The following is a 21536-nucleotide window of genomic DNA, read 5'->3' on the forward strand; positions in this document are numbered from 1 at the left end:
GGGAGTATCGGTTAACCCTTGCGCGGCGGGGCGGGCTGGAGCTCCGCGGGCCGGAACCCGGGAGTCGGGGCTCCCCAGCCACACCCCTCGCGGGATTTAAAGGGATAGGAGGGGCCGGGTCGGCCGAAGCCCGAACCGAAGGAGCGGGCATGAGGCGCTGCCCGTGCCGTGGGAGCCTGAACGAGGCGGAGGCCGGGGCGCTGCCCGCGGCGGCCCGCATGGGACTGGAGGCGCCGCGAGGAGGGCGGCGGCGGCAGCCGGGACAGCAGCGACCTGGGCCCGGCGCAGGGGCCCCGGCGGGGCGGCCGGAGGGGGGCGGGCCCTGGGCCCGGACAGAGGGGTCCAGCCTCCACAGCGAGCCTGAGAGGGCCGGCCTCGGGCCTGCGCCGGGGACAGAGAGTCCGCAGGCAGAATTCTGGACAGACGGACAGACTGAGCCCGCGGCAGCTGGCCTTGGAGTAGAGACCGAGAGGCCCAAGCAAAAGACGGAGCCAGACAGGTCCAGCCTCCGGACGCATCTAGAATGGAGCTGGTCAGAGCTGGAGACGACTTGTCTTTGGACGGAGACCGGGACAGATGGCCTTTGGACTGATCCGCACAGGTCCGACCTCCAGTTTCAGCCCGAGGAGGCCAGCCCCTGGACACAGCCAGGGGTTCATGGGCCCTGGACAGAGCTGGAAACGCATGGGTCACAGACTCAGCCAGAGAGGGTCAAGTCCTGGGCTGATAACCTCTGGACCCACCAGAACAGTTCCAGCCTCCAGACTCACCCAGAAGGAGCCTGTCCCTCAAAAGAGCCAAGTGCTGATGGCTCCTGGAAAGAATTGTATACTGATGGCTCCAGGACACAACAGGATATTGAAGGTCCCTGGACAGAGCCATATACTGATGGCTCCCAGAAAAAACAGGATACTGAAGCAGCCAGGAAACAGCCTGGCACTGGTGGTTTCCAAATACAACAGGATACTGATGGCTCCTGGACACAACCTAGCACTGACGGTTCCCAGACAGCACCTGGGACAGACTGCCTCTTGGGAGAGCCTGAGGATGGCCCATTAGAGGAACCAGAGCCTGGAGAATTGCTGACTCACCTGTACTCTCACCTGAAGTGTAGCCCCCTGTGCCCTGTGCCCCGCCTCATCATTACCCCTGAGACCCCTGAGCCTGAGGCCCAGCCAGTGGGACCCCCCTCCCGGGTTGAGGGGGGCAGCGGCGGCTTCTCCTCTGCCTCTTCTTTCGACGAGTCTGAGGATGACGTGGTGGCCGGGGGCGGAGGTGCCAGCGATCCCGAGGACAGGTCTGGGGTGAGTGGGACCCATCCTGCCCTTGAGCCACATCACGCAAAACTCCTTATTCCTCCGCCTTTGCTTAGGAAGTTCTCTACCCATTTACTGTTAGTTGCCCACCAGCAATTTCATCTCCGGGAACCTCTTCCATCCACTGACCTCCTCCCTCTGACAGCCAGGTTACTAATTCACTCCAGGCACCCCTTCTTAATTCTCTCCTTTCCCCTTCCTGCACTGTCTCCACTCCTGGGGGTCTACAATGGAGGGCCACTGACCGACTTTATGGGGCCCAGGAACCCCTGAAATTGTAGGACTAAGGAGCCTGCCGTGCGTGTTCACATACATTGTTGCAGCGACGGTCTGACATCTGTCTAATCCTCTGGAATCTGAAGAACACTGGGATAGGGAGACAGGCAGGGTGCACTTTCTACCCCACATTTCTTAATCTGGGGCCTGTGGCTGTCTTAAAGGGTCACAAACCTTCACCACCCCTTAGCCTATTTGTATGTACATTTTTCTAGGGAGCAAAGCGATTCCCCCAGCTTGCATCAGATTCGCAAAAGGGCTGTGTGACCCCAAACGCCAAAGGATCCTTGGCCTAGCCGGGAGCCCACCTGGTCTCCCCTGTGACCCCTACATCCCCAAGGAGCCCCCTGAACACTCTTGTTTACTTTGTCCACCGTCACCCCCAGCTTGGGTGTGGCTCTCCCCTGGTGAATCAGGAGGACCGGCCGGGCAGGTTCAGGGAGGGCGGGACAGAGCAGAGGCCGGTGTGAAACTGGAGAGCCTCACGTGGGGCTGGGAGCCGTGGGGCTGGGAGCCGAGTCCGGAGTCCATCAGCTTGCCAGCTTGCCTGCTGAGGCCTCTTTTTGCTCTGGGGCCCCTGGCTGGAGTCTGCCCTGAGCCCCGCTTCACCCCACATGCCTTCCTTGGGGACGTGTTCACACATGTGGCCCTAGCTGTGAGAGACAGACCTGCCTTGACGTGCCTGTGCCTGTGTGCAGGGGCTGACCCTCCTGGGCCCCATTGCTTTTTTCTCTCTGCCTGCCCTCTCACTTCCTTGGCATCTCAGAACAGCTGAGCTGGAAGTGGGTGAATAATAATAATAATAATAATAATAATAACAACAACAATTAGCACTCACTCATGTTTAGCCCTGTGCTAAGTGCTGTGCTTTTATTAACTCACTCACTCCTCGCAGCAACCCTAATGAGGTAGATACTTTTTTTTTTTTTCTGAGACAGTCTCGCTCTGTTGCCCAGGCTGGAGTGCAGTGGTGCCATCTCGGCTCACTGCAGCCTTCACTTCCTGGGTTCAAGTGATTGTCCTGCCTCAGCCTCCTGAGTAGGTGAGACACCAGGTGCCCGCCACCACACCTGGCTCATTTCTGTATTTTGAGTAGAGACAGGGTTTCATCATGTTGGCCAGGCTGACCTCAAGACTCCTGACCTCAAGTGATCCACCCGCCTCAGCCTCCCGAAGTGCTGGAATTACCAGCATGAGCCACTGCACCCGGCTGAGGTAGATACTATTATTATCCCCTTTTACAGATGAGGAAACTGAGGCACAGAGAATTCAAGTCACTTGTCCAAGGATATCACCTTGCAAGATGCAGATCAAATAATTCTAATCCTTACTGTACACCAGACACTGTTTTAAGTTTTTTCTTCTTTTTTTTTTTTAGTCTTTTTTGTCAATTTTTTTCTGTCATTTTTTATCTTAAAATAGCATCTATCTTAATTAAGGGCTTTGTATGTGTTAACTCTGAGTCCTTATGACAGCACTGAGATTGTCTCCATTCAACAGATGGGGGCCAGGCTCAGTGGCCCAAGCCTGTAATCCCAGCACTTTGGGAGGCCGAGGCAGGGGGATCACCTAAGGTCAGGAGTTCAAGACCAGCCTGGCCAACATGATGAAACCCTGTCTCTACTAAAATACAAAAATTAGCCAGGCGTGTGATGGCGGGCACCTGTAATCCCAGCTACTTGGGAGGCTGAGGCAGGAGAATCGCTTGAATGTGGGAGGCGGAGGTTGCAGTGAGCCGAGATTGCACCACTGCACTCCAGCCTGGGTGACAGAGCAAGACTCGGTCTCAAAAAAAAAAAAACAAAAACAACAGATGGGGAAGCTGAGGCATAGAGAGGTGAGAGATTCTTTGCTTAGGGTTGGCCACGTCAAGTCAGAGCCAGGATTCTAACTCAGTTCTGGCTGAGTTTCAAACCCATCGTTTAAACCCTCCAGTGTGTAGATCTGTTCCTAACTTGTCTCCCTCCCAGGCCTCCCTATCTCCAGTTTTTTTCTCATCCTTCCAGAATCTGCCTCCATGGCCCAGCTTTGTCTGCTCAGGTGCCCTCTCTGAGAGCAGTCAGGGGCTCAGTGCTGCGTTTGGAGCCTCCGGTCTCCAGGCGCCTTCCCAGAATCGACTTCCTTCCCTCCTCCTGACCCCCTCTGCTGTAACTAGGCCTGAGTACACACTGTTCCTTGAACACTCTTCTGTTGTCCTGCCTCCACGCATTGCTCAAGCCGTTCCCACTGCCCAGCATACCCGTGCTTCCTTCTCCCTTAATTTTGAAATCCTCTCTGACCGTAAAGGCTCAGCTTCCTTTCTCCCTTTCCTCCTTCCTTCCTTCTCACCATCCTGTCCTTTTTTTAAAATTGTGTTCTCTTTCTTTTTCTTTTTTTGGTAGGGATGGGGTCTTGCTATCTTGCCCAGGCTGGTCTTGAACTCCTGGGCTCAAGTGATCCTCCTGCCTCAGCCTCCCAAAGTGCTGGGATTACAGGTGTGCTATCCTATTCTTCTAATGAGACAAAAATCACTCCCTAAGCCCCTACCATGTATTTGGTCCTATGTTAGCTTTGCTGGGGAAACAGCAGTGACCAAGACACTCATGGAGCTCCCAGGCCCATGAAAGAGACAGACCAATCAGCCGACAGTCACAGTTCAGAGTGGTCAGGAGGATGTGTGAGCCCAGAAGGAGGTCACTGGCCAGACACAGGGTATCAGAGAGGGCTTCCTGGAGGAAGGGGCATATAAGCTGAGACCATTGTGAAAAAAATCCGAGAAAGCCCAGATAAACCATTGGATCTAACTTTTTTTTTTTTTTTGGAGGGCGTGCAGTGCGGAGTTTCACTCTGTTGCCTAGGCTGAAGTGCAGTGGCGAGATCTCAGTTCACTGCAACCTCAGCCTCCCGGGTTCAAGTGATTCTCCTGCCTCGGCCTCCCAAGTAGCTGGGACTACAAGCGCACGCCACCACGCCCGGCTAATTTTTTTTTTTAGTAGAGAGTGGGTTTCACTATGTTGGCCAGGCTGGTTCTGAGCTCCTGACCTCAGGTGATCCACCCACCTCAGCCTCCCAAAGTGCTGGGATTACAAGCATGAGCCACTGTGCCCGGCCCGGATCTAACATAAAACAGAGAGAGAAGATATTATGTTTATGATTAAGGGGCCAGGTGTGGTGGCTTATGCCTATAATCCCAGCACTTTGGGAGGCTGAGGTGGGAGGATTGCCTGAGCCCAGAAATTTGAGACCACCCTGGGCAACACAGTGAGACCTCATCTCTACTAAAAGGAAAAAAGAACTAGCTAGATGTGGTGGTATATGCCTGTTTTCCAGCTATTCGGGAGGCTAAAGCAGGAGGATTGCTTGAGCCTGGGAGGCAGAGGTTGCAGTGAGCCAAGATCACACCTCTGCACTCCAGCCTGGGCAACAGAGTGAGATCCTGTCTCAAAAAAAAAAAAAATTACTATTAAAAAAATCCCAACTAACATTCTTCAGTCCAAGCATCAAAGAATGTTTCTGGAGCGTCTGTCGTGTGCCAGGCCATGTGCTGGGGACATAATCATAACCATGACAACCCCAGTCTCTGCCATCATGAGCTTGTAGTCCAGCAAGTGTGTAGGGGATAAGCCCCAAGGCACTGGGATCCAACCAGAGCTAGAACCCCAGCGCTGTGTGGGGTGATGTTAGGTAAGTGGCTTCACCTCTCAGACCCTCTGTTTCCTCCTTTGTAACACCGAGACGATAATCTCCCTGGGGTTGTGTTTTTAGAAATTAAGTAGGTTGTGGCACACTGAGTCTTTGTCATTGTGTCTGGAATGTTCCAGGTACTTAGTAAACAGGAACCTTTATTAATCATCTCTTCCCCAGGGCCGGCAGCTGGATTGGGGAGGGACTAGCCCTTCCCGAACCCTGACTCCCTCTTAACCTTCCCACTGTCAAAGAGATGTCTGTGAGGTAGCTGGGCTCTGAGGGGGCGGGAGAGATGAACACGTCCCTGATCCTGGGGTAGGAGAGGGATGAGCCATACAGTTTCCTTCTCTGGAGGTGACCCACTCTTCCAGTACTTGCTAAGGGACTTGACATGCTTGTGGGGTGCAGAATGTATTCCTGTGTGTGTATGTGTTCATGAATCAGACACTAACCCTGTCTCAAAAAGCTCATAGTTTAGTCGGCATGATACAACGAAAACCCTGTTTTCTATTTGCTTCTCTGGTTTTCTTTCTTTCTTTCTTATTTTTTTGAGTCAGGGTCTCACTGGGTCACCCAGTCTGGAGTGCAGTGGCACAATCACTGCTCACTGCAGCCTCACCCTCCAGGGCTCAAGTGATCCTCCCACCTTAGCCTCCTGAGTAGCTGGGACTACAGGTGCACACCACCACGCCTAGCTGATTCTTAATTTTTTATTTATTTATTTATTTATTTTTTGAGATGGAGTCTCGCTTTCTCGCCCAGGCTGGAGTGCAGTGGCACAATCTCGGCTCACTGCAACCTCTGCCTCTCAGGTTCACACCATTCTCCTGCCTCAGCCTCCCGAGTAGCTGGGACTGCAGGTGCCCGCCACCATGCCCAGCTAATTTTTTGTATTTTTAGTAGAGACGGGGTTTCACTGTGTTAGCCAGGATGGTCTCAATCTCCTGACCTCATGATCCGCCTGCCTCAGCCTCCCAAAGTGCTGGGATTACAGGCATGAGCCACTGCGCCCGGCCTAATTTTTAAACATTTTGTAGAGATGGGGTCTTGCTATATTGCCCAGGCTGGCCTCAATCTCCTGGGCTCAGTGGTCCTCCCACCTTGGTTTCCCAGTGTTGAGATTACAGGCGTAAGCCATCGTACCCGCTGCTTTTGTGGTTTCCTTTGTTCTCTCTCTCTTTGTCTACTTCTGTTCATCTTTTTCTTTTCATCATTACTTTGTATCTCTCTCTTTTAGTCTTCCTATATTTGTTTTGTTTTTTTTTTGTTTTTGAGACAGTCTTGCTCTGTCGCCCAGGCTGGAGTGCAGTGGCGTGTTCTTGGCTCACCGCAACCTCTGCCTCTCGGGTTCAAACGACTCTCATGCCTCAGCCTCCTGAGTAGCTGGGACTACAGGTGTGTATCACCACGCCCGGCTAATTTTTGTATTTTTAGTAGAGGTGGGGTTTCACCATGTTGGCCAGGCTGGTCTCAAACTCCTGACCTCAGGTGATCTGCCCACCTCACCCTCCCGAAATGCTGGGATTACAGGTGAGAGCCACCACACCCGGCCTATTTCTTTATCTTTTAGCAATTCTATACCTGTCTCTGTATTAGTCAGGGTAGGTCAGGATTTTCTGCAGTAACAAAGAGCCCCCAAATCTTAGTGACTTAGAACAACAAAGGATTATTTTGCTTTATACTACACATTGGTCACAGGTCAGTGGTGGGTCAAGGGCTCTGCTTCATGCTGTCTTCACTCAGGGTCCCAGGCTGAGGGAGCTTCCATTTCTTTTCTTACTCCCTCCCCCACTGGGGAACAAACGTGGCGAGTCATAAACTGGCTCTTAAGGCTCCTACCCGAAAGTGACACTTCTGCTCCCAGTTAATTGGCCAAAGCAAGGCCAGGTGTGGTGGCTCACACCTATAATCCCAGCACTTTGGAGACCAAGATGGGAGGATTGCATGAGGCCAGGAGTTCAAGACCAGCCTGGGCAACATAGCAAGATGCCATAAAGTAGCTGGGCATGGTGGCACACGCCTGTAGTCCTGACTACTCAGGAGGCTGGGATGGGAGCATCGCTTGAGTCCAGGAGTTGGAGGTTGCAGTGAGCTATGATGGTGCCATTGTACTGCAGTCTGGCTGACGGAGTGAGACCCGGTCTCTAAAACAAAACAAAACAAACAAAAAACAACAATCCCCAGTTCAGGAGGGCAGGGACATCCCTGAACTAATAGCTGGAGCTATGTGGTGAACAGCTGTCATGACTGCCACGGTCTCTGTCGCTGTCTCTGTCTCTCTGTCATCACTATGTCATCTGCCTCTCTGTTTCTGTCTCTCTCTGTGGTCCATCTCCATCCATCAACTCCTGCCTCTATAATTTTCCCCAAAAGGTCTGACCTGGTTTAGGGACAGAGATGGGGCTTCCAATATTTGACACTGGTCCCTACATAATGGCTTATGCCTGAAACCCCAACACTTTGGGAGACTGAGGCAGGTGGACTGCTTGAGGTCAGGAGCTCAAGACCAGCTTGGGCAACATGGTGAAACCCCATCTCTACTAAAAATACAAAAATTAGCCAGACATGGTGGCATGCACCTGTAGTCCCAGCTACTCGGAGGGTGAGGCAGGAGGATCACTTGAACCTCGGAGGCAGAGGTTGCAGTGAGCCAAGATCATACCACTGCACTCTGGACTAGGTGACAGAGACCCTGTCTCAATTAAAAAAAAAAAAAAAAGAAGATTTGGAACTGTGTATGTGCAGTGGAAGATGTAAGGGTTGTTTGTTAAACCACAACAAAACCTAGCCTGTCCTTACTCATAAGATCCTTACTCATAAGAGAAGGACAGAGAGACATAGATACAAAGAAAGTGATGACAGAGGGGAGAAATGGGCAAAGAATTTCCCCTATCTTGCTGAGGGCTTTGGGCGATCATGTGATTGCCGAACTAAGTGGGGCTCACTCACCCCAACAAGCCTGGGAACAGTGATCCCAGGAAGCCCCTGGCCCTGGAAAGACTGCAGGTCCCCTTTCGTTCCCTCTCATGGCAGCACCTCTAGCCCCTGCCTTCCCTGGCCTTGGCCCTGACCCCACCCTGCTCTGCTCCCTACAGAGCAAACCCTGGAAGAAGCTGAAGACAGTTCTGAAGTATTCACCCTTTGTGGTCTCCTTCCGAAAACACTACCCTTGGGTCCAGCTTTCTGGACATGCTGGTAAGTGGGGTGGTGGTGGACAGAGCTGGGCAGAGTCTCCTGGGCCAGGGAAAGGGATGTTCTCTGTAGTTTAGTTCCCCCACCTAGTGATGGGCTTGGTGACAGTCCCCACCTTATGGGACTGTTATGGGCAGTGCTTAGGCCTGGGCCTGGCCCTTCGTATGTCAGGGCAGAGGGCTATTCCTTGTTATTCTGGTGGAGAGAGGGAGCTTCAGACGGACCTGAGCTCAAACCCTAGTTCTGCTCTGTATTCATGGGTGACCTTGGGCAAGTTACTTTCCTTTACTGGGCCTCAGCTGCCCCATCTGTTAATGTGGAGATAACCTTACCTCCCTTGCAGGATTAACCGAAGAGTTAAAATCAAAATGTATATAAAGATTGAGGCCAGGCACGGTGGCTTACATCTGTAATCCTAGCACTTTGGCAGGCCAAAACAGGAGGATCGCTTGAGCCCAGGAGTTTAAGACCAACCTAGGCAATATAGTGAGACCCCGTTTCAATTAAAAAAAAAAAAAGATTGGCTGGGCGCAGTGGCTCATGCCTGTAATCCCAGGCCTTTGGGAGGCCGAGGTGGGTGGATCCCCTGAGGTCAGGAGTTTAAGACCAGCCTGGCCAATGTGGTGAAATCCCTTCTCTACTAAAAATAAAAAAATTAGCCAGGCATGGTGGCGGGTGCCTGTAATCCCAGCTACTCAGGAGGCTGAGGCAGGAGAATCACTTGAACCCGGGAGGTGAAGGTTGCAGTGAGCCAAGATCGCAGCATTGCACTGCAGCCTGAGTGACAAGAGCGAAACTTCGTCTCAAAAAAAAAAAAGACTGAGGCACAGGACTCTTATGAATGGAAATGATCACTCCTTGCCTTCTCCGCGTGTTCAGAGCATAGCAGGCCTTCAGTAAGTAGCAGCTGTAACATTTTGCCCCCAGGACCTTGCAAATGCCTGCAGCACAGAGTAGCACAATGGTGGCATATAGTGCTCTTTTGAAAGGCTAGGCCATAAATATCTTAGGTTTTGTGGGCCTATGGTCTCTGTCGCAACTACTCAGCTCTGCTGTTACAGCAGGAAAGCTGCCATAGACACTATGTAAACATATGAGTGTGTCTGTATTCCAATAAAACTTTATTTGCAAAAACCAGCAGCAGGCTGGACTAGAAAAGTGTGCCCATTGGCAAATGGCGACAGTAAGAGAATTTGTCTGCCTTGTTTGTCTTTAGATCTGACCTGGAAATAAGGCAAGACCCCCTAAAACTGTGTCAACACAAGTTTGCCATCTATATGTGTTCTGGTTACTATTGCTGAGTTTATTAAAAAAACAAAACTCAGCAGAGCACAGCGGCTCATGGCTGTAGTTCTAGCACTTTGGGAGGCTGAGGTGGGAGGATCACTTGAGCCCAGGAGTTTGAGACCAGCCTGGGTGACATAGTGAGACCTTGTCTCTACGAAAAATAAAGAAATTAACTGGGCATGGTGGCATGCACCTGTGGTCCCAGGTACTTGGGAGCTGAGGGTGGGAAGATCACTTGAGTCCAGGAGGTCTGGGATGCAGTGAGCCTTGATCGCACCACAGTACTCTAGCCTAGATGACCGAGTGAGACCCTGTCTCAAAAATAAATACGCCAGGGGCGGTGGCTCACGCCTGTAATCCCAGCACTTTGGGAGGCCAAGGCAGGCGGATCACGAGGTCAGGAGATCGAGACCATCCTGGCTAACAAAGTGAAACCCCGTCTCTACTAAAAATACAAAAAATTAGCCGGGCATGGTGGCGGGCGCCTGTAATCCCAGCTACTCGGGAGGCTGAGGCAGGAGAATGGCGTGAACCCGGGAGGCGGAGGTTGCAGTGAGCCGAGATAGCACCACTGCACTCCAGCCTGGGTGACAGAGCGAGACTCTGTCTCAAAAATAAATAAATAAATAAAATAAAATAAAATAAATACAAAACAAAACCCAAAAACCCCAAGACTTAGTGATGGTTAAAAAAAATAACTTAGTAGAATAAAACAATCATTTTATTGACCTCAGAAGTTTTGGGTCAGCAATTCAGACAGGATGGCAGGGATGGCTTTTCACTGCTCCACAATATCTGGGAACTCAGCTAGGGACACCTGGAGGCTACAAGCTGAAAACTTTTGGAGGTTCATTCACTTGCATGCGTGGTGATTGATGCTGGCTATTGGCTGGGGTCTCAGATGGGGCTGCCACGTGGCTTTGCCATGTAGCTCCTTGAGCTTCCTCACAGTATGGTGGCCTCAGAGTACTCAGATTTCTAACAAGACAGCTCAGGACTACCTTGAAGGTAAGTGTCTCTGCCAACAGAAGTCATGCAGTAGCACTTCTGCCATAAACCGTCCCATATTTAATGGGAGAGCAATCTATTTTTTATTTATTCATTTAATTTTGAGATAGGATCTCAGTGTTGCCCAGGCGGGAGTGCAGTGGTGCAGTCATAGCTCATTGCAGCCTTGAACTCCTGGCCTTAAAGGATCCTCCTGCCTCAACCTCCCAGAGTGTTGGGATTATAGGCATGAGCCACTGCACCCAGCTTGGGAGAGCAATTAAGAGTATACTCCTTGATGGGAAAATTCTATAAGAGCAGGATCAGGAATGGGTCTGAGACCCACTGTGATCAGGAGATACTGTTGTAGCCAACTTTGGAAAATGTAATCCAGGCTGGACATAATCACAGCACTTTGGGAGGCTGAGATGGGAGGATCATTTGAGGCCAGGAGTTCGAGACCAGCCTGGGCATCATAGCAACACTACCCCAACCCGACATTACACATTTTTTTTTTTTAGATTAGCTGGGAGTGGTGGGGGTGCACACCTGTAGTCCTAGCTACTCTGGTGGTTGAGGTGGGAGGATCACCTGAATCTAGGAGCTTGAGGCTGCAGTGAGCTATGATTATACCACTCAATTTCAGCCTGGGTGACAGAGTGAGATCCTCTCAAATAAAAAAAGAAAAAGAAAATATAATCTGAAAATACAGCTGGCCACTAGAAGAAATTAGAATTATTATAATCTATACACTCTGCGTGGTCCAGGAAATGCTTGATCTATAAATTAACTTAAATAGGCCCTGGTTGTTAGCACCTTGGGATTCCAGGCAGCAGCAAAAGCAAATCCACTCTGGAGAGTGACGCTCTGGACTTAGATCTCACAGAATTCCCACAGATGATCACATGTGTACAATCAAAAATTACAAAACAAATTAGGATATCCTGTGCTGGGAACAGGACTTGGTTTAAGCAACAGAGAACAGAAATTCGCCCTTTCCTTACCAACCCCTGGGCAAGACTTTTAAGAGTTGCGGCCTGGGCACAGTGGCTCACGCTTGTAATCCCAGCACTTTGGGAGGCCAAGGCGGGTGGATCATCTGAGGTCAGGAGTTCAAGACCAGCCTGACCAACAAGGTGAAACCCTGTCTCTACTAAAAATACAAAAATTAGCTGGGCTTGGTGGTGTGCACCTGTAATCCCAGCTACTTGAGAGGCTGAAGCAGGAGAATTGCTTGAACCCGGGAGGCGGAGGTTGCAGTGAGCCGAGATCGCACCATTGCACTCCAGCCTGGGCAACAGAGTGGGACTCCATCTCAAAAAAATAAAATAAAATCTTAAAATCATTAAAAAAAAAGTTGCAGGGAGAGAAAGCATTGCAGGAGGGTCGGGCAAGATAATGGTGGCCAGGATCTGATGCAAACAGGCAGCTGCGGAGAGGTTCTCTTCCTGATCCAGTTCCTGATCCTCTCATTTATTCTACCACCTTTAGGGAACTTCCAGGCAGGAGAGGATGGTCGGATTCTGAAACGTTTCTGTCAGTGTGAGCAGCGCAGCCTGGAGCAGCTGATGAAAGACCCGCTGCGACCTTTCGTGCCTGCCTACTATGGCATGGTGCTGCAGGATGGCCAGACCTTCAACCAGATGGAAGACCTCCTGGCTGACTTTGAGGGCCCCTCCATTATGGACTGCAAGATGGGCAGCAGGTGGGGCTGGGGCAGCCCTGGGGCAGGGATGGAGGGCAGGGGGTGGGCATTATTGAAAATATTGGCCTGGCCAGGCGCGGTGGCTCACGCCTGTAATCCCAGCACTTTGGGAGGCCGAGGCTGGTGGATCACCTGAGGTTGGGAGTTCCAAACCAGCCTGACCAACGTGGTGAAGCCCTGTCTCTACTAAAAATACAAAAAATTAGCCAGGCGTGGTGGTGCATGCCTGTAATCCCAGCTACTCAGGAGGCTGAGGCAGGAGAATTGCCTGAACCTGGGAGGTGGAGGTTGCGGTGAGCTGAGATTGAGCCATTGCACTCCAGCCTGGGCAACAAGAGTGGAACCCTGTCTCAAAAAAAAGAAAAGAAAAGAAAAGAAAATAGCGCCAAGTCCATTTTCAAAGTGGTTGTACCAGTGTACCTTCCCACCACCATGTATGAGTGTTACAGTCGTCCCAGATTCTCACCGGTGCTTGGTACTGTCTGTTTTATTAACTTAAACCATTCCGATGGGTTTGGAATAGGATCCCTTTTTTTCCTCTTTGAGACAGAGTCTTACTCTATCGCCCAGGCTGGAGTGCAGTGGCACGATCTCGGCTCACTGCAATCTCCACCTCCTGGGTTTAAGTGATTCTCCTGTGTAAACCAAGTAGCTAGGATTACAAGCGCCCGCCACCACACCTGGCTAATTTTTGTATTATTAGTAGAGATGGGGTTTCACCATGTTGGCCAGGCTGGTCTGGAACTCCTGACCTCAGATGATCCACCCACTACGGCCTCCCAGAATGCTGGGATTATAGGCGTGAGCCACCACGCCTAGTCTGCAAGAAGTGAACTCTAATTGCTTTCTCCAGCTGGGTTCAGTGGCTCTCACCTATAATCCCAACACTCTGGGAGGCTGTATACACACACACACACAGACACACACACACAGACACACACATAGTCTTCAACTCTCCCATTTCATTCTTTTAGTAGTCTTTTGATAAACATATTTTTATAAACAAAATAGTATTTGTATTATTACTCTTTTTTGAGACAGAGTCTCATTCTGTTGCCCCGACTGAAGTGAAGGAGCATGATTATAGCTCACAGTAGCCTTGAACTCCTGGGCTCAGGCGGTCCTTTCACCTTAGCCTCCAGAGTAGCTGGGACTATAGGTATGTCCCACCAGGCTTGGCTATATTTTATTTTTTATAGAGACATGGTCTCCCTGTACTGCCCAGGCTGGTCTTGAACCCCTGAGCTCAAGTGATCCTCCTTCTTCTGCCCCCTGAGTAGCTGGGACTGTAGGTGCATACTATCACACCTAGCTAATTTTCAATTTTTTGTAGAGACAGGCTATTTAGGAAAAGCTCTGAATCCATGCTTTTCCGTTCTCACACCACTGCCACAACAATGAGAGCACAGAAGACTTCTGTGACCAAATGTTTAGGTTTTTTAACCCCACACACCAAGCAACGGACACCAGCTGGATGTCCTCCAATTCAAGTCTAAAACCATCTACCTGGAAATAGTGTCAGATCCCACAGGTTGGGGACTCAGTCCCCAAGACTGCCCCCCAGTTACAGACACCAGTCATAAGTTCAGGCCTTCGAAACTTCTGACTGATTGGCTCCAAGTTGGAGTTCCCATGTCCTCCTCTTTGGGTTCAAATAATTTGCTGGAGTGGCTCAAATAACTCAGGGGGATACTTACTTACCTTTACTGGTTTAATATAAAGCAGGGGTCCCCAACCCCTGGGCCGCAGACCAGTACCGGTCCATGGCCTCTTAGGAACGGGGCCCCACCGTAGGAGGCCAGCGAGCATTACCGCTTGAACTCCACCTCCTGTCAGACTAGCGGGCAGGAGATTCTCTGGAGGGCGAACCCTATTGTGAACTGTGCCTGCAAGGGATCTAGATTGTATGCTCCTATGAGAATCTAATTGATACTTGATGACCTGAGGTAGAAGAGTTTCATCCAGAAACCATCCCCCTCACAGTCTGTGGGAAAAATTATCTTCTACAAAACCAGTCCCTGGTTGGGTACTGCTACAAAGGATACTGCAAAAGATGAAGAGAAGTGTAGGGCAAGGTATGGGGGAAGGGGTACGGAGCTTCCATGCCCTCCCTGGGCGCACCACGCTCCAGGAACCTCCACAGGGTCAGCTATCTGGAAGCTCCTGAGCCCAATCCTTGGTTTTTTTTTTTTTTTTTTTTTTTTTGAGAGGGAGTCTTGCTCTGTGTCCCAGGCTGGAATGCAGTGGCCTGATCCGCCCGCCTTGGCCTCCCAAAGTGCTGGGATTAGAGATGTGAGCCACCATGCCCAGCCTAATCCTTGGGTTTTTATGGAGGCTTTAAGACACCAGCATTCCTTCCCCCAGAGTATAGGGTGGGATCCTCTCTGGGGAGGGTCCTAAGACCCACAGTCAGGAAGGTGGGGAAAGATTAGAGTCCTGCCTTGGGGCAGGTGAAAGGAGGGCAGGAGGAGGTCAGAGATTTTGGTTTCTTGAGCCAGCTTCTGAGATCTAACACACCTAAAATTATAACAAAAGATTGTGGCTGGGCGCAGTGGCTCATGCCTGTAATCCCAGCACTTTGGGAGGCCAAGGCAGGCAGATCACTTGAGGCCAGTTCAAGACAAGCCTGGGCAACATGGTGAAACTCTGACTCTACTAAAAAAATACAAAAATGTGCCAGGTGTGGTGGTATACTCTTGTAATTCCAGCTACTCAGGAGGCTGAGGTGGGAGGATCACTTGAACCCGGGAGGTCCTAGAAGTTGCAGTGAGCCAAGATCACGCCACTGTACTCCAGCCTTGGTGACAGAGCAAGACTCCATCTCAAAAAAAAAAAAAAAAAAAGGCTGGGCGTAGTGGCTCACACTTGTAAATGGGAGGCAGAGGCAGGCCGATCACGAGGTCAGGAGTTCGAGACCAGCCTGGCCAACATCGTGAAACCCCATCTCTACTAAAAATACAAAAAATTATCCGGGTGTGGTGGCGGGCACCTGTAATCCCAGCTACTCAGGAGGCTGAGGCAGGAGAATCGCTTGAATCCGCGAGGCAGAGGTTGCAGTGACCCGAGATCACCACCATTCCATTGCACTCTAGCTCGGGCGGGCGTCAAAAAAAAAAAAAAAAAAAAAAAAAAGATTGTAACAAGGGCTATGAGAGTTACCAGCCAGGAACCATAGAGGGAAACCAATATACATTGTAACTAACACCGGGTCTCGCTATGTTGCCGAGGCTGATCTTGACTTTCTGGGCTCAAGTGAACCTCCTGCCTTGGCCTCCCAAAGTGTTGGGGTTACAGATGTGAACACTGCACCTGGCCCTACCTTTAATTTAGTCCAGTTTGTCAGTTTTTTTCATTGTGTTTAAGAAATCTTTTCCTACTCCAAGATCATGCAAATATTATGTTTTCTTCTACAAGCTTTATTGTTTTAGCTTTCATATTTAGACCTACATTCCAGATAGAATTAATGTTTCTGTGTGTGGGAGGTAGGGATCAGGTTCATTTTTTTCCATATGGATTGTTGACCCAGCACTGTTTATTGAAAAGACTTCCCTTTCCCCACTGAATTGCAGTGCCTAGTCATAACTGCACAACTCTACGTGTGTGTCTTTGTGGACTCTGTTGTATTCTGTGCATTGATTTGCCCATTCTTGTGCCACACTGTGGCTTTATGTCTTAATATCAGGAAGGGTAAGCCCTCCAGTTTGTTCTACATAATTTCCTTTGTCACATCCTCTGTGTGCTCAGGACCTATCTGGAAGAGGAGCTAGTGAAGGCACGGGAACGTCCCCGTCCCCGGAAGGACATGTATGAGAAGATGGTGGCTGTGGACCCTGGGGCCCCTACCCCTGAGGAGCATGCCCAGGGTGCAGTCACCAAGCCCCGCTACATGCAGTGGAGGGAAACCATGAGCTCCACCTCTACCCTGGGCTTCCGGATCGAGGGCATCAAGGTGAGGACCAGGAACCGCCTGGCCTGTCCCGGGAAGGCCTATAGCCAGATCCCAGGCAGGGCTTCTTGGGGAAAGCCACGAGAGAGTGCAGGAGACGGCGTGGGATGAAAGGCTGGGGCTGGGGAAGCCCAGCCTCTTTCTTACCTCCATACCCATCAGAGCCCAGGTTCTGTTTATCCGTCTGCCTGAGCATCTCCTGAGTCCATCTTTTCCTCCTCTCCTTCTCCATGGTCATGTCCTAGTCCAGCCCCATCTTCTCCTGCCTCTGTCTCCCTGGGCATCCTGGCCCTGGTCTCCCTGCAGCACAAGAGCTGGAGGGATCCCTTTCCCCCAGCTATGGAGAAGGTTTCTCTTTTTCTTTCTTGCATTCCTTTTTCTTTGTCAAATTAAATATAATTGTATGAATAGGCCAGGCATGGTGGCTCATGCCTGTAATCCCAGCACTTTGGGAGGCCAAGGCAGGAGGATTGCTTGAGGCCAGGAGTAGTTCAGGACTAAGCTGGCCAACATAGGGAGCTTCTGTTTCTAGAAGAAAAAAAAATTGTTTGAATAGCTAGTCACACAGTTCAAAAGTCAAAATAATATTATAAAAGGGTAAATGTGGAGAAATTTCTCTCCCAACTCTGCTGCTGTCCTTCCCATTCTGTCCCTCTATCCCTCTACCTGCTCATGGGGAACCACTTTGTCAGTTTCTTGTATTTCTTCCTGTTAGTGCCAGTAAATGGAGTTGTAGATCCGAAATGTTCCTCAGTACGCATACTGATTGGTACTTTGCTATTTTCACTTAATAGTAACACCCTGCAGAGTTTTCCACATCATTCCATAGAAAGCTTCCTCTTTCTGTTTTTTTTTCCCCCACAGCTATGTAACACTGTTTTTGTGACTGTGCCTGGTCCCCTATAGACAGACACCTGGGTTGTTTCCATTTTTTGCCATTAGCAGGCCTCAAAGAATCACTTTGTATATAAGACATTTTGCAAGTATGCAGATTGAGCTGTAGATTTCCAGAAGCAGGACTCCTGGGTCAAAGCTTAAAGGCATGGGAAATTTGCGAGAGATGACCAAACTTCCACTCTCGGTGTTATGCCACTGCACATCCCACCAGCAATGTATGAGAATGCCTGTTGCAGATCCGACCATGCCATTCTCCTGTTCGAAACCCTTCTGTGGCTCCCTAGTACCTTGAAGTGAAGTTCCATAGCCTGTAGGGCCCTCTAGGATCTAGCCTCTTCTCTCTCATTCTTCTCTTTTCTTTTTTTTTTGAGAAAGAGTCTCGCTCTGTCACCCAGGCTAGAGTGCCATGGCACAGTCTCAACTAATTGCAACCTCCACCTCTTGGGTTCAAGCGATTCTCCCACCTCAGCTTCCTGACTTGACGTGATTACTGGCACGCACTACCATGCCTGGCTAATTGTTGTTTTTTTTTTTTTTTTTGAGACAGAGTCTCGCTCTGTTGCCCAGGCTAGAGTGCAGTAGTACAGTCTTAGCTCACTGCAAACCTCTGCCTCCCGGGTTCAAGCGATTCTTCTGCCTCAGCCTCCCAAGTAGCTGGGATTACAGGTGTGCACCACCGCTCCTGGCTAATTTTTGTATTTTTAGTAGAGACAGGGTTTCACCATATTGACCAGGCTGGTCCTGAACTCCTGACCTTGTGATCCACCCGCCTTGGCCTCACAAAGTGCTGGGATGATTACAGGCGTGAGCCACTGTGCCCGGCCTAATGTTTGTATTTTTAAGAGAGGCGGGGTTTCACTATGTTGACCAGGCTGATCTTGAACTCCTGGCCTCAAGTGATCTGCCTGACTTAGCCTCCCAAAGTGCAGGGATTATAGGCGTGAGCCACCACGCCCAACCTCTCATTCCTCTCATTCTTTCTGTGTACCTTCAGGCACAGTGAAGCACTTGCATTTACTTGAAATAGGCTTGCTTTTTCCTGCCACAAGGCCTCTGCACCCCTCTGCCAGGAATGCTCTTCTATTTTTTTTTTTTTTGAGACAGGGTCTCACTCTGTCATCCCCCAGGCTGGAGTACAGTGGCGCGATCACAGCTCACTGCAGCCTCAATCTCCTAAACTCAAGTGATCCCCCCACCTCAGTCTTTTGAGTAGCTGGGACACAGGTGCGTGCCACCACACCCTGGTCTCTTCCGTCTGTGCCCCCTGGTCTGGTTGATTCTCAGTCATTTTTCTGTCTCCTTTCAAATTTTGCTTCCTCAGGGAAGCCCTCCCTGATTTCTGTTCTACTGATCAGGGTCCCCTCTTCACCTCCTCATAGCTCCTTATACTCTTTCATTATTCTTATCTTCCTTTCTGATCATCTTAATCAGTGTCTGCCCCCTCATCTGACTGTGTCTGTCGTGTTACTCCCTATTGCCAAGTGCCCACATAGCACCTGGCACAGTGTGGCAGATGACTTAGGTGGGTTCTCTGAGCCCTACTGAAACATAACAGATAACATTAGTCTCATTAGTCTCAAATAACTATATGCCAGGCACTGTGCTGTGCATCCTACACACCTGGTTTCCTCTAATCCTTACACCAGCCTTAGCAAGTAGACACCAACACAATTCCCGTTTTCCAGATGAGGAAACTGAGGCTGAGGCAGCTGAAATGACTTAAGACTGCCCAGCTAGAAAAGAGCAGAGATGGCCAGGTGCAGTGGCTCACGCCAGTAATCCTAGCACTTTGGGAGGCCAAGGCGGGCGGAGCATGAGGTCAGGAGATCGAGACCATCCTGGCTAACATGGTGAAACCCCGTTGCTACTAAAAATACAAAAAATTAGCCAGGCGTGGTGGCGGGAGCCTGTAGTCCCAGCTATCAGGAGGCTGAGGCAGGAGAATGGCATGAACCCAGGGGGCGGAGCTTGCAGTGAGCCCAGGTTGCACCACTGCACTCCAGCCTGGGTGACAGAGTGAGACTCTGTCAAAAAAAAAAAGAAAAGAGCAGAGTCACGATTCACAGCCAGCTCCACCCTGCTCCAAAGCCCACTTTCCTAGATGGGTTCAACCAGGAGGTTCAAGGTTGGAAGGGTGTGGAAGGACTGGGGCTCAGGCATGTGACCTGGGGCTGGGTTGAGCTGGGCTGGGCAGGTAAGCTGGCTTCCTCCTCTGGCAGCAAGTGTGCAGGCAGGTGGGTGGCCCTGGGAAGTTGTTTTTTTTGAGACAGAGTCTTGTTCTGTCACCCAGGCTCGAATGTAGTGGTGCAATCAATGCTCACTGCAACCTCTGCCTCCCGGGTTTAAGCGATTTTCCTGCCTCAGCCTCCCGAGTAGCTGGGATTACAGGCGCCCGCCACCACACTTGGCTAATTTTTTGTATTTTTAGTAGAAACGGGGTTTCACCGTGTTGGCCAGGCTGGTTGTGAACTCCTGACCTCAAGTGATCCTCCCGCCTCGGCCTCCCAAAGCACTGGGATTATAGGCATGATCCCACACCTGGGACCACAGGTGCATACTACCACACCAGAATTTTTTTTTTTTTTAAATAGAGATGGGGTCTTGCTGTGTTGCCCAGGCTGGTCTTGGCCACCGCGCCCGGCCTCCTGGGAGGTATTTGAGGTTGCTGGGTATTGGGTGCGGGAAGGAAAAGCCCATGACCCTGCCCCTCCACACCCTGCCCTACAGAAGGCAGATGGGACCTGTAACACCAACTTCAAGAAGACGCAGGCACTGGAGCAGGTGACAAAAGTGCTGGAGGACTTCGTGGATGGAGACCACGTCATCCTGGTGAGTGGGACACCCATGTCCCAGAATGTAGCAGCTTAAGACAGCCACCATTTATTCTTGCTCCAGAGTCAGTGGTCTTCTGCTTTGGGTGGGGCTGGACTGATACTGGCTGGCTTTGCTCAGTCTGAGGTCAGCTGGTGGCTTGGCAAGGCTGGCTGGTCCAGGGGGCCCTGCTCCCAGCTCTGCCGGTTGGCTCATGACTTGGCCGCACGTCTCTCGATAGCAGGATGGCCTGGGCTTGCTCTCACAGTGGAGGCAGGGGGCCAAGAGAACAAGTAAAAATGCAAGGCCTCTTGATGCCTGGGCTCAGAATGGCCACCATCATTTCTGCCGTTCGGCAAGTCATGTGACCCAGCCTGGATCGAGGGGTCTGGAGACAGACTCCGCCTCCGGATGGGAGTGGAAATTCATGGAATCCACCACTCTTCTCCATGCCACCTTGATGAATCCAAGCCCTCACTCCTCTGCCCTGTCTTCCCCATGGCTCCCCTATTCCATCCTGGCTAGAGCCTGCCTGCTCCTTTGGGGGAATGGGGTGAGGTCAGAGCTCAAGGTGGGCAAGGCCCCACAAAGTCCCCATGCTAACCAAAGAACGCTCCCTGTCACACAGCAAAAGTACGTGGCATGCCTAGAAGAACTTCGTGAAGCTCTGGAGATCTCCCCCTTCTTCAAGACCCACGAGGTGCGAGCCCTGGCTTCCATGGGTGGATGTATGGGTGTCGGGGTCCAGGTGCATGGAGGGGAAACCATTGATGAGTTACAGGTCAAAGATATAAAAAGGGGCTGGGCGTTGTGGCCCGCACCTGTAATACCAGCACTTTGGGAGGCTGAGGTGGGAGGATTGCTGGAGCCCAGGAGTGCCAAGACCAGCCTGGGAAGCACAGCAAGACCCCGTCTCTATTTGGAAAAAAAAAAAAAAAAAAAGGCCGGGTGCAGTGGCTCATGCCTGTAATCCCAGCACTTTGGGAGGCTGAGGCGGGCGGATCACTTGAGGTCGGGAGTTTGAGGCCAGCCTGGCCAACATGGCGAAACCCCGTCTCTATTAAAAATACAAAAATTGGCTGGGTGCGGTGGCTCATGCCTGTAATCCCAGCACTTTGGGAGGCCGAGGTGAGCAGATCACGAGGTCAGGAGATCGAGACCATCCTGGCTAACACAGTGAAACCCCGTCTCTACTAAAAAATACAAAAAATTAGCCGGGCGTGGTGGCGGGCGCCTGTAGTCCCAGCTACTTGGGAGGCTGAGGCAGGAGAATGGCATGAACCCGGGAGGTGGAGCTTGCAGTGAGCCGAGATTGTGCCGCTGCACTCCAGCCTGGGCAACAGAGTGAGACTCTGTCTCAACAACAACAACAACAACAACAAAATTAGCCAGAAATTGCTTGAACCCAGTAGGCAGAGGTTGCAGTGAGCTGAGATTGTGTCACTGCACTCCA

General features: G+C 50.9%; 1 protein-coding gene across 5 annotated transcripts in view, besides 2 other annotated features; it reads left to right on the forward strand.

The window, feature by feature from the left end:
• Positions 17-376: a silencer, noted in NCBI's record as "silent region_10645". NCBI's record gives its function as "represses an Ori minimal core promoter by ATAC-STARR-seq in GM12878 lymphoblastoid cells {active_cell/tissue: GM12878}" and the evidence as "EXISTENCE:reporter gene assay evidence [ECO:0000049][PMID:35858748]".
• ITPKC (inositol-trisphosphate 3-kinase C) overlaps positions 126-21536 on the forward strand; it is a 23749-nt gene continuing 2338 nt past the window's right edge. For 3 of the 5 annotated variants that reach the window (XM_047439468.1, NM_025194.3, XM_047439466.1), the window contains exons 1-6: positions 126-1304; positions 8354-8453; positions 12216-12429; positions 16174-16378; positions 20000-20101; positions 20712-20783. In XM_047439468.1, the coding sequence (XP_047295424.1) occupies positions 150-1304; positions 8354-8453; positions 12216-12429; positions 16174-16378; positions 20000-20101; positions 20712-20783 (1848 nt within the window). In that variant the 5' untranslated portion in view covers positions 126-149. Of the gene's footprint in view, positions 1305-8353; positions 8454-12215; positions 12430-16173; positions 16379-19999; positions 20102-20711; positions 20784-21536 lie in introns of those variants that run through there. The other 2 variants (NM_001411098.1, XM_047439469.1) reach the window with 2 other exon arrangements.
• Positions 1950-2651: an enhancer, noted in NCBI's record as "H3K4me1 hESC enhancer chr19:41224841-41225542 (GRCh37/hg19 assembly coordinates)". NCBI's record gives its function as "activates a minimal SCP1, AML or CMV promoter by ChIP-STARR-seq in naive H9 embryonic stem cells {active_cell/tissue: H9 hESC(naive)}" and the evidence as "EXISTENCE:reporter gene assay evidence [ECO:0000049][PMID:30033119]".

Source organism: Homo sapiens, chromosome 19, assembly GCF_000001405.40.
Source record: "Homo sapiens chromosome 19, GRCh38.p14 Primary Assembly".
Classification (NCBI taxonomy): domain Eukaryota; kingdom Metazoa; phylum Chordata; class Mammalia; order Primates; family Hominidae; genus Homo; species Homo sapiens.